The 13,518-nt window shown below is 37.6% G+C and overlaps 2 long non-coding RNA genes across 3 annotated transcripts in view; one reads left to right on the top strand and one right to left on the bottom strand.

Annotated features, from left to right (window-relative positions):
* Positions 1–6,361, top strand: part of LOC107986420 (uncharacterized) — a 39,066-nt gene extending 32,705 nt beyond the window's left edge. Inside the window, exons 2-3 of the long non-coding RNA XR_001742692.1 lie at positions 4,944–4,995; positions 6,236–6,361. This is a non-coding gene — a long non-coding RNA (uncharacterized LOC107986420). The remainder of the gene's footprint in view (positions 1–4,943; positions 4,996–6,235) is intronic.
* The window catches only part of LOC105379007 (uncharacterized), a 38,941-nt gene that overhangs the window by 733 nt on the left and 24,690 nt on the right, over positions 1–13,518 (bottom strand). The window lies entirely within an intron of this gene.

Here is a 13,518-nt window from a genome sequence, read left to right as displayed (position 1 = left end):
CTATATTACAGAAGTTAATATTAGTTATTCTAGCTTATGCAATACCCAAACTAGACAAATATAAGAACAGAAAATTACATGCCAATTTCATTGAATATCATAAGTGCAAAAAATGAAATAAAATAAAAGCAACCAGTTCTCTTACATTTTATTTAATTCACTAGTTCAAGTCTCCTGAGTTTATACAGACACTTTAAATGCAGTATTATCTAAATCTATTTGGCATATTTCAAATAGAAGTTTAGATAGTGATATAATAAAATGGTTAAGCAAAAGTGTGCTTCTAATGTGGCTAATAAATAAAGCTTTATTATAAAAATGAAGGAAGCAGGCCAGGCACAGTGGCTTATGCCTGTAATCCCAGAACTTTGAGAGGCTGAGGCATGTGAGTTACTTGAGGCCAGGAGTTCGAGACCAGCCTGGCCAACATGGTGAAACCCCATCTCTACTAAAAATACAAAAATTAGCTGAGTGTGGTGGTGGGCACCTGTAGTCCCAGCTACTTGGGAAGCTGAGGAAGGAGAATCACTTGAACCTAGGAGGTAGAGGTTGCAGTGAGCGGAGATAGTGCCATTGCACTCCAGCCTAAGTGACAAGAGCGAAACTCCATCTCAAAAAAAAAAAAAAAAGAAGGAAGCAAATTTGCTAACTGTTTGACTCCCTTTGAACTGGTGTCCAAGAAGATGTAAAACAGGAGGAATACATAGAATGTTCCCTTATGTAACTTCTTCAGGTTATCCACGAAAAGTTATGGTCATCTTTGTATGAAATGCAAAAGGAAAAACATGAAATTATAGTTGAAGACATGGGACATGTAGGGAATTGATTTTATCCAGAAGGACCCAGACTAATATACTCTGTAGGTCAAGATTAGAGTCCTATTCTTGGTAGTGTCCAGAAACCAGCGTATGCGGTGGCAAGCCAGGTTAAAGGACCAGCACTATCTTACTTAGTACTTTGGTTCTAAGAAGTGTGTTATTCCAAGTCTGAGATTTCTAATGGATGTATCACAAGGGGTTACAAATTTGCCACAGGAAATCATTGTTGTTATTGCTTTTATTTTTATCTGTTTTGTTGCAAAATAAAATAAAGAGACAGCAAATCACATACATGATAAACATTCATCTTAAGTTATAAAGCAAACACCTTTTTAAGCACCCACACAGGTCAAAAAAGTAGAGTTTTGCCAGCCACCCCAGAAGCCTTGTTGTGGTCATGCTACAGAGATCAAATTGATTCTTTACCCAAAATTTGGCCTGGATACTGAGATTAATGTTGGGTATGAAACACATAAAGAGGGTATGAAAAGATGTATTACTCATATAATGAGGCTTTCTGGCAAGAGCAAGGTAGGTATCCTAGCAGGTCTGAAAATGGCATGCATAGTTGGAACTTCCTGCTGGTGGCAAAGGAAGAGCTTGTGGGCTCTCTTACTGGCTTGTCCAAATGTGGGGCAGAATGGGGAGCAGGGGCCAGGGAGACTTGAAAGTCGTCAGCAGGCAAACATCAAAAATAGAGTCAGCCTATTTATTTATTTATTTATTTTTGAGACGAGGTTTGCTCCGTTGCCCAGGCTGGAGTGCAACGGTGCGATCTCGGCTCACTGCAACCGGCTTCCCGGGTTCAAGCGATTCTCCTGCCTCAGCTTCCCGAGTAGCTGGGATTACAGGCACGCACCACCACACTTGGCTAATTTTGTATTTTTAGTAGAGACGGGGTTTCTCCATGTTTCTCAGGCTGGTCCCAAGCTCCTGACCTCAGGTGATCTGCCCGCCTCCGCCTCTCAAAGTGCTGGGACTACAGGCGTTAGCCACCGCGCCCCGCCGAGCCTCTCTATTAGACCTTTCTGTGTATTCTAGCTCAATGGCAGCTTCTTCCTTACCCTTCGAAAGTAAATCACATCCTTGCTTTTTTTTTAAATCTTTTTTTTATCACGCGAGTGTGCATTCCTAAACATTATCGTGTAGACTCACCCATTTAAAAAAATTTCATGTGTATTTTAAATCTTTTTAAATCTACACTTTCTCCCTCTCTTTCTTTTCTTTCAGTATTTCTGTGGAGGAACTAGAGCGTTTGACTTTTACAGTTTCCCACAGTCAGGATTTTGTTGACTGCGTATTTATGGTTTCATACAACATGTTTCTCTATTCTCCACTTTTCCTGCAAACTGGCAACTGGATCATGAGGACTGATCAGACTCAAGTCTGTCTCTTTGGTAACATTTGAGGGAGGTAGGTTAAATCTATGACAGAGGCTTGGAAAGATTCAGCAAATGCAGCATGAAGCAACAAGTTATGAGAGGGAGTGTCATGATAAAAAGAACATTTGAAATTCTCATGTTCTCAAGTCTGTCCATCACCCCCGGTCCCTTCTGCCATCTCCTGCATGGATTTTGAGATCATGCAGGTCTTATGACTATTAGCGTGTATTGTGTCTTCCAATTGCATTTTATAGCTTTTGGGGATGCCTTGTTGCATAGTTGTGTTGTGAGAGTCCGCCGCAGGTTTCTGTGATTTTGCTCTCTAGCTGCTCTGTTTTTATGTATTTAGAGAGATTTAAAACCTTCGTAGCCACTGCCATCCTCTTTCTAGAGTTTCCCCCAAGATAGTTTTCAATAAACTCTTGATGTTAAAAGTCCTAAGACCAATTTTTAAAAACATCTAAAAACGTACAATGTTGGAATTATAATGAATAATATTTATCCAGCTTCCCCTGAAAACTTCCTGAATTCAGTAGTTTGAAAAAATTATTCAGAATATTTATGCAATCATTATTTAATACCTTCCTTAACATTTTGTATTTTATCGCTTGCCATTTTTATATAGTACACAAAATGTGATATGTCTTTCCACCAAGTTGCAAATAAGTTTCCTCATGTCCCCTTCTTCTTCCGATTTACTGCATTATGCTTTATAATGCTCATTTTCTTAATGCGTGTTGATTTGAAGAAGGGCTGAGTAACACTTCTCAAAGGGACCCTCAGTGTTTATAAGAGGCATAGGCTCACAGTCCTGGTTTTGGTCAGGGAAAATAATACAGTTCTATTTTGTTTTGAGTGGACTGTCAATATGATGAAGAAGAAATACTAAATGCACTCTTAGTTAGGTAATGGTGGAAGGGCAGACCATTTGCAAACCTTCCATATTATATACCTGACTTCACAGACCTAGAATATATGAGACACACTGATGATGCTATTGTGTTTGTAGATTTGTAGAGGCTCAGAGACCTTGAAGTGCTGATAAAACTTCACTTTGCTTCATTTCCTTTGATTTTGCTTTCTCTTCTTTTGAAAATAAAGAAGCCAATGAAGCCACAAAATATAAACAACTAAGCTTTCAACAAAAGACATAATTGAATGGTCTTTCCAACTTGGCAGGCAGAATAAAGGCTTTCAAATAAATAAAGATCCTGCAAAAATATTTGCTTGTCAATAGCATCCATTGGTCGGGATCTGAGGAGTTGAAAAATAAGCACTGGAATGTTCTGGGTGACCTGGGATCCAGTGATATCTTTTGAACATGTATATAATGCCTTGCTTTCAGAGGCAAGGGGCATTGGGTGATGTATTAGTTTCCTAGGGGCCGTAACAAAAGTACCACAAACTGGGTAGCTTACTATAACAGAAATTAATTTTCTCACAGCTCTAGAGGCTAGAGGTCCAAAATCAATGTGTCAGCAGAGTTGGTTTCTTCTGGAGGCTCTGAGGAAGACTCTGGTCTAAACCTCTCTCCTAGTTTCTGCTGGTTGCCAGCAGTCCTTGGCATTCCTTGGCATGTAGCTGCATCACTCTCATCTCTGACTGTGTTGCCATGTAGCCTTCTTTCTGCATGGTCTTTCTGCATGTCCTCTCCTCTTCTTATAAACACAGTAATCATTGAATTTGGGGCCCATCTAATGCAGTATGCCTTCAACACTAATTTCATTTGCAAAGAACCTATTTCCAAATAGGTTGAATTCTGCATTTTGGGGAGATACTAATCAATCCCGTTTAGATAACTTCCACATTCTAACCAGATTCTGAAATTTTTAGCCTTTGCAAAAATCTACTAGTGGTGGTTGTGTCTTTATTATGACAAAACTAATCGTGTTTAGCCTTTTTCATATCTTATCTTTGCCTTAGTTTTACTTTTATTTGTTACATTTGAAGGTTGTATTTTTTTTTCTGTTCATCTGCTTTCTATATATTTCTGTCCCCTTAAGGAATTAAAAATAGATCTCCTAATCAGGATTCTGAATGACATGTTAATGAAAATGTACAGACTCCTGTTCTCACAGTCCCACTGTTTAACACTATTTTTGCTTTCCTACCTCCATAGAATGCCTGCCAGTGGCAACATTTTTCATGGTACCAAGAAAAATGTTGAAGTTGGCAAATCTTAAGCACTGAAAAAAAAAATCAACATTGCATTTTTGGAACAGAATTTTATATATAAGTATTCTGACCTGGGAAAATTTCAAGGGATGATATATTGATCTATTCCTTTTTATACAAGGTAACATGTTATTAGGAATTCATTTTTACATTTTTTTCTCCAAAGCCAAAGATGCTCCAAAGTATTAAATTACTGTAATCTAGGACCTTAATTCCTGCCACCTGACAGCGCACTGAAAAAGTATCCACAAATTATTTGTGTTGAAAATGGCCACGCCACCCAACCTCTTCAATGAAACTGTTAAACCCAATTTAGCTTTATGCTCCAGTCCTCTAAGGATGGCCCTTGGGTTTTTTGTTTGTTTGTTTGCTTGTTTTGTTTCTTTTTCTGAATTACTAGAGTTAACTTTTGAGCACTGTCAGGAAGAAGACGGGGCAGGAAATTAGAAGACCCAGGGCTTTAGAAAAGTAGGGAAATCTGAATGTGTGTGAGAGACAGTCAGCGAGACTATGAGAATCTACGTAACTGTGAATGTTCACACTGTTTCACATGTTCTACTTTCCACAGACCTCCCTGTTCACAGATCTTGGTTTTGCTGTGTTCACAAATCCCTAAGAAGGTAAGCCTCTATAAGTTAGAATTGGACTCAACTGAATGTAACAGAAGAAATGGTGATTATTTAAATAAAGCAGGAGTTTATATAGCTCTCAAGGGAATTTGCAGGGAGGCAGCTCAGTGCTGCTACGTCAGCAACACAATGTTGCCAGGGACCCCACTTCTTTCTGTCTCTATCAGAGCCTTGTTCATGACTGAGCTCTGGTAGACCTCCTTTCTGGTTAGGAGACCTCCTGGGAACACCACTCAACATAAGCTTCCACCTCATTGACAGGAGCTTGGTCACATTGTCACACCATGGTCTGAGCCTTGGAAATGTAGTCTAAGTTGGGTAGCAACTTAGTTAAGGGGATTGAGCAGTTAAGGGGGTTGCATGATAAAATAATAAATGCCCAGTTAAACTTGGTTTTCAGATAAATACTTTTTTGCTTAAGTATGAAATATTTGGGAAATATGTAGACTAAAAATTATTTGTTGCTTATCTGAAATTCAAATTTAACTAGGCATACTTGGGACATACTTATACTATACAATACTTATACAATACTTGGGACATACTTATACATACTTATAAAATACTTGGGACATACTTATGCTAAAAATTGATTTGTTGTTTTACAGAAAGTTAAATTTAATTTAGCAATCTGTATTTTTATTTGCTAAATATGGGAATCCTAGTTAGAAATCAGGGTTCTACTGCTAAAAAATAAGGGGGGGGGGTGGTGAATGGATACTGGGGGGTAGGCAAACAATGGTCTTTGGTACAGCTACTTAAAAGGACCTGAAGCAATTAAATGTTATCCAGTTTGTGAAATGAAAATATGGACTTTGAGTTAGGGACTAGGGAAATTAGGAATAACCAGACCTTTTGAGATCGCCTTTACTAACAAATCTTTACTAATGAAGTGTACGAGTGGGAACATCCCATAAAATACTTAGCCTCTCAAATCTAGTATTTGTTAATGAGGCTGTAGAGTTCTTTGCATGTTTCTGCATACACAATAGAAAGACACTGAGCACACACACACACACACACACACACACACACACACACACAAAGACCTTTATAAGTCACCGTCACAGTATTGTAAGTAAAAAGACACAAACTCTTGCTTATACTGGGTCAGAATCTCTGCTTTGAATCTGATACAAAGTGTGACCATGTTTCTTTCTGAATGATTCCTTTTTACCTGTCACAAATTTTGAATGTTAATGCTGACTTACCATTTATTTAATTTATTTAGTTTACCTTGGAATATGAGGGGAGCCCCCAGAGACCACTGCTTTTATTTTTGGCTTAGCCCGAGCCTCTCAAATACAGAAGCACCTTTCTGTCAGATCGTCAGGTCACCTCTGCATGGACCAGCCTTCATTCCTGAACGGGCCTTTAGACATCTGACTCACAGCAGAAAAAGATCACTTTGACTTTCTATTTACATTTCATTTGGCAGAAAGCAGCAAACTACACTTTGAAGGTAAAGCGACGTATCCAAACTTCCTTGTCTTGACATCCTGACTCATCCATTGGGCACAAAAATCGTACATAATGAAGATGCATTTAACACACTTGCTTGTTGGTCTCTCTCACGTTTTTACTCTTACATCTTCTTTCCAGAATATCCATGTCTCTGACTTCAACAAGAAAAATTTGTAGCAAGTTTTCAAATTATAACATTTTTCTTGCAAAAAGTGAAGTAAAGAAGAATGACTGGTATATTTGGGATTATGACTTTTCTTATCCCTTTGGATTTTGAAACTACTGAGTGATTCATAATTCATTTCTAGGCACTGATACTATTCTTCTGGCTGCCTCTAAGTCATGATAAGAAAAAAAATATCCGAGGGCAAAACGAGAAGCAACATATTTGTGGCTCAAGCTAGATGAATGGAAAAGAACAGAACACTCAGTGGGTTAAATAGGATACTGCAAAGCAAGGCTTAGTGATTGAATGGTCGCCCAGTTTATATTAAAGGACTTATTTCCATTTACAAAATGATTCCCTTTGTATGGTTCAAGGATTAATGTGCTGGGCATCTTCCCAGCTCTAAGCATTTATTTAAAAAAAGCTTTCCATGTCAGGAAAATTCAGGTTCTGCAGTGATAAATTTAATGATGAGATGTATAACTTGAAGATCTGGTTAATTTCAGGTGTTGAACATCCTCCAATCATTTTTACTGGAATGGGAGGGATGCATCCAGTGCCATAACTCAATTCCAGTTGTGTTATCACCTCCAATCAAATGAAAATGTCCTTGAAGCTGAGGATATGCATTCCTGAACATGCTTACACTCAACATATGGCTCCATGAGGCCAAACTTCAAGATGAAAGCAAAGGAAATCAGACAGTTGCCAAGAAATTTCATAATATTAGCAATAGATCTGGACGAGTGACTGAATTTTTCACTTTTCGTCCACCTTTGTGTATAACTACCCAAAGTGTTGAAATTTCTTGGTGGGTACTCTGACTTGGCAATAACAAGCATAATAAGATTCCTAAGATCATGGCTTGCAGTACTGTGAACACTATTAACATATATGCATTTTTAAACATTCCTGCTCAGGTGCCCTGGAGCATACTCCAGTACCATCACTTGCTTTCCATGCAAGCTCTGATCATGGATTATAGGTTCCTGTCAGTCTTAGCACTGAGCCTGACATATGGTTGGCACTCAATATGGGTCTGGTGAATAAAATGAAACAACTCAATGCAGTGGCAACTTAACCACAATAGCTGCTGCAATCAGAATAAATGTTTCAAAAGCTAAGCCAAGAAAGGTGTTTTGTTTTTTTTTTTTAAATGCAGCTCTGAGAAAAAGCAGCTAATACAAACATGAAAAATAAGATATGAGGCCAATAAATCAGCAATGGGCTACCTTCACTTACTTGGTTAATATCTCATTGAACTTGGGCTTCATTTGGAGGAGAGTAGTATAACCCCCAGAAACACAAATATTCACAGAGCAATTAAGAACAGTTCAAAGACCAACATTAATTAAAAAGACATTTCTTTACAATTTCCCATAAAGAACATTAAAGGGGAGTCCACTCCTCAGTCCACAGCGATGTTGACATCTTTCCCTCTTCTCCATTTCCTTCACATATCCCAGCAGTCAGATCCTCTCTGTTATCTCCTTACCCCCAACTCCCAAAACAATACTTTTCTTCCTCTCCTACCCTACAGGGCTTTCTTCCCTCCTTTCCTTCCTCCACAGGATTTCTCTTAGCCCTTTATTATGTAGATAAACTTAGCTTCTCTTCACTATAAATTATCTATTCCCTTCAGGAAGGGTGTAGACGAGGAATTGGTTAGAAATTGCGGAATGATCTTTGGGATGCTAGAAGAATGGCCAAGTCCATTCACATTTCCAGATTAATCATTTTTGTCCCAGTGCAGTAATATTTTTATTCAGCCACTCAACAAGAATCAGACTTTGATATGTAAAGAAAATAAGATCCCATAATGTGTGCAGCATTCATAAACACAATTACTTTTATAACCATCACAGACATTTCGAGGCACAGTAAAACTCACTCTTACAGATGACTTATCTGGTATAGTATGGTGACCAGGCAGATACATAGGACCATAAACTTTTTACTATGCAGAATTGGTAAAAGGTATGTTGCGGAACATAGCATCCTTGAACTGAACATTTTCAGACTAAAGTATGTCATGCTTTAGACAGCAGCATGTAACTAGTGGAGGGTGGATAAACAGCCTAGCTTTATGACAACTGGAAGTACTCAGGCAGTAGTACTCAGGCAGATGCTCAAAACTAAGCTAGGTATTTCACATTGATTCTCTGGTAGCAGCACACATTGAAGGACCATTTCTAAGGAAGGCTCTCAAGGGAACTTTTACATCACTTAGTGGCATTGGTTTGACGTATCACTTCTTTCTAAGGTCTTTTCCAGCTCTGATTAAACAATTTCACAAAATTATATCAACTATAAGTGGCAGAAATATATTGCTTATTAAGTACATATGATGTCTAGGAATTGATTGGTTATTGTCCATATTGTGAAAACCTGATTAATTCCAGAAAGATAAAATAATATAATAAAGATAAGCACATGAAAACCAGAACATTACATATTCTGATTGGTATTTCAAATATTGTTGATTGTATTTGAAGAGTTACGTGGCTTTAAAAAACAGTAGCATATACGGGAGTTTAGCTGGAGTAATATTTTCAGTACAGTCTCTTCCTGCCTCTTCTGATGCTGCCTTCTTTTATAAAACAAATTTTAAAAAAATTAAAAATAGAGACAGGCAGGGTTTTGCTATGTTGCCCAGGCTGGTTACGAACTGCTGGGCTCAAGTGATCTTCCCATTTGGGCCTCCCAAAGTGCTGGGATTATAGGTGTGAGCCACCATGCATGGCTTTTTAATGCCTCCTTAACCACGTTCCCCATCCCCCATCACGGCCATCCTATCTCTGTAGAAATGGTTTCCATCTAACATATATTTACTTTCAAGTTGCAAGTGCATCCTCATGAACACCAGAAACCTCTCGGCCTTACTTTTTAATTCTAGCCACTGCTGCAGTGGGTGGTCTGTGCCCTGCAGGCTTTGCTCACAACAGCACAGCTAGAACAGGTCAGCAGCACACCCCCTTCCTCTCCTTCCGCCCGCACTTTTTCTCTGGCCCAGTCAGATACCTCTTGCTTCCTCTCTTGGGCTTTTCCATTCCACAGAACTGTTGGACACTCACTCACACATTTACTTCTAGAAACATGAGGGCTATAATACCCAAGAGGCCATCTTCTGGCACTGGGAGGTGGGAGCCATTGTAGACAAGCTTTACTGTTTGCCCGCAGGTGACCAGAAGGCCCCAGTAGAATAAATCACAGTATCCTGTAGCAGAGGCCAACTCTACAACATAATTTTGAACAAGTTTTCGCTCCTTTCATGTTTTACTCTCCTGCCACCTGCCACGTACTCCTGTTCTGAAAGATCATATTCCCAAATAAACTATGGGCACACGAGCGTGTCTCAATATTTGGGGATGCACAGGCCAAAACATGCATATGTCATACTGTTGGGAATCTTCTTATCACTTTGTAAGAAAGAGTTACATAAAAATTGTTCCTATGCTACTTTGTTTTTTGATTACTAAAAACTTAGGCCTTGGAGAGGGAACCTACAATTCATACTATCCAATAGGTAGCCACTAGGTACATGAGCACCTGAAATACAGCTAGTATGAATTGAGATATACTGTAAGTACAAAGTATATACCAACTTTCAAGACAATACAAAAAAAGTGATAATTTTTATATAGGTTTCATGTTGAAATAATATTTTTCATATATTGGGTTAAATAAAATATATTATTAAAATGAATTTTGCCATTTTTAACACTTAAAATGTGGCTATTAGACAATTTAGTATTACATGGGTGGCTCACATTATATCCTTATTGGCTGCTTCTACTGCAGTTGAAAAGGGACTTCAGAGACATATCAGTCAACTGCCAAGCACTTACTTAAAGCTAATTGGAATAAAAATCATGTAAAAATTATAAGACAATGTGGAAAATTTGAAAACTGCCTGGATATTTGATGTGAGGAATTACTGTTAACTCATTTTTTAAGTGTGATAATGGTCTCAGGGTTTTTTTTTTAAAGATTTATTATCTTTTAGAGATATACACCAAAATATTTAAGAATGAAATGATGTAATGTTATAGTTTGCTCCAAAAGAAAGTAGGTAGGCATATAAATGAAATAAATGTGGCTTTTGGTTGATAATTGGTGAAGTTAGATAATGGTATTGGGAGTTTATTATCTTATTGTCTCTACCTTTGTATGCATTTGAAATTTTCTACAAGAAGAAATGTTTTATTAAAATAAATAAACTTTTGTCAATGGCTAGTGATAAAAAGACACTGACCTATGGGCTGTGTATACAATTTTATATATATATATATATATACACATAGATACTGATATATATATCACTATATACTCTACTTCCCAGAATTCATTACTTAGCAAGAGGATGGTACTTGCAATTGTATTATGGTAGGTGTGCACAAACACTAGGTAGGACTTCTCATAGCCTGGAGGAGTTAACCTGGTTATGTGAATAACTTTATGTATGTTCAGCTTCAAAGTGATCTCTGTGCCAACCAAAGAAAGATATTTAAAGAGCTTCTTCTATATTACGATTATATAAAAATATAAATAATATATACATATATTATATTATTACATGTAGTATATATAACATTATATAATGCAAATATATTATTATAAAAAAGAATATATAATGCTTATACATAGATTGATTTATTTATATTTAAAAGTGTGTATATAAATATACAATTTAATACATACATATATTTAAAAAATACATATAACAAACATAAATATATATAACAGTATACTTATAAAAAGAGCTTCCTTTCATATTATGCATTGTTATCTATTCTCTGAAGATCATTTTCATTGCAATGCTTCAAAAATGTACATATTCATTTTTCTTCTTGTTATAAGTGTTAGAATTTGATGTTTGATCTTGTAAGATTCTCATTGAGTCAACAGCCATATTTCCCTAGTCCTGAGACATAGCAAGATTTAATTTAACCATTAACGAACAAGAGGTTTTGGGTTCTACAGGCAAGAACCCTCATAAAACATGTCCGAACTCCTGGTCCTCCAGGCGATGGCTATTTTGTGGCCCATTTTTTAATCTTCCAGTAGATTAACATGCAGGAGTAACAAGTGGATTTGGGAGTGGTTAGGGTGGTAGCAACAGAGTGTTTTCCTTGTTGAGCCATGTTTCAGGATAAAATAACCAGCGAAGCTTGTTCATATAGAGCATTTTCCATCTGCCTTCTGTCTCTAAATGATGAAGTACACATAATGCGTCCCAGGCGTGGAGGCAGGACTCCACCAGTCTCTCCATGCTGGGACAGATTGAACAGATCTTCCTTAGGCTGTGTTGTACATGTTCAATCCATCCAGAGTAGTTCCATTTAGATAAAATAAATAACCCATGGCTTAAAAGCTGTCATTGAGAACACTCTGCCTTCTTTGGGGCTTCTCAAAATAAAGAACATTTTCTGGTCTAAAACCTATTAGATTGAGTACTCCTCCAGGGATTTAAATCCCAGCACCCAGTATATATATAATGCTTGGCATGTAGAAGATGCTCAGTAAATGTTTATGAATATTATAAATCTGGGTTAAGAATGACCCAGATTGCTTGTCTAATGGGTTATTGATCTCACATCTTCTACAGTAGAAAGATATAATGTCTCTACTTCTACTATAGTACTATTGATTTATAAATTGAGTTGAATTCAAATCTCGAAAGAACTAAAATCTGTTTCCTACATTAAGCTGCCCATGCTCTGGGATTCACAGAATCATCACATATTAATGTAAGAAAGTATCTTAGAGATACTTTCATGCACAGCCTAAGGGACTTCTGAGGGGAAATAGAGGGCGCCTTAATTCAAACTTTTATTATGGTTCATCTAGGAGGAGAAAAAATAGTGGTTTTCAGCTTTGCAGAGTTTGAAAAATCACTCGTCTTGACCAACTGCTTCATTTTACAGAGAAGAAGTGGAATTCCAGAAATATTCAGTGGCAAGCTCAAGTTCACAGTGTCAGAGCAAAACAAAGACTAGAACTCCTGGTGCAGACTGAATGCCCACAGCAGTCTCCTGCAGTCAGCTGTGCTGTCCCATGGTAAAAGTTACATGACATTTCTCCTTTTGTGGTCACATTGACCCACATGCATTTGAATATGTTTGCACATTGCTTAAAGTGATCTTACATTTCCATCATGAGTGTATCTTCCACTTCCCGAAATTGATTGTAATGTTCTCAGGGATGGGAGCTGAAGCCTCTATTTTCTTTGTGCCCTATCTCCAACACCCAGTGGAGTTTCAGTAAGTGTTATTCACAGGTTGACTGACTGACTGAACATGGAAGCTAAGATAGAGAGGCTTGGGAAAAGTTTGGGGTTTAGCCACAGAGGGCAAAGGTACGGTTTCTAATCTATCAGACAACCTTTTTCTGCTGTGTAATTTGGAGACGGGGTTTTGATAAACAGCTGTAGGGCTCCATCAGTCTCCTAAAGCTTTAGAAAAATTTCCTGCATTGTGAGTGCTTAGAACATAGATTGTTACTGTGTTTTGTATATTTTAGAAAAAAATGAGGATAAGTACTCATAATTTCTCACCCACAGTGGAGAAAATAGATACATGAGAGCTGAGTTGGTGAATTAATGTAACAATTAATGGTGACTGTGTCTCAGCTAGGATCAAGTTGACCTCACTGAGGTTTAAATGGCCACTTAGATTGTTGCTGTTTTTTTCTGGGTTTTCAAACTTCCACAAAGGAAGGGAGAATAGGGAGGAGTGGCTTTGTGCATGTGCTTTGGAATCAGTCTATTTTTTCAATTTCAGTTTCACCATTTACTAGTCGTATAACCTTGAACAAGTTACATAACCTGGCTAAGGCTCAGTTTCTCCATCTGCAAACTGCAGATAATATTTCCTCAATAGGAT

The sequence above is a fragment of the Homo sapiens genome, chromosome 5 (genome assembly GCF_000001405.40).
Source record: "Homo sapiens chromosome 5, GRCh38.p14 Primary Assembly".
Classification (NCBI taxonomy): domain Eukaryota; kingdom Metazoa; phylum Chordata; class Mammalia; order Primates; family Hominidae; genus Homo; species Homo sapiens.
Note: the sequence above shows the minus strand (reverse complement) of the source record. Positions and strands in the feature narration are given on the sequence as shown.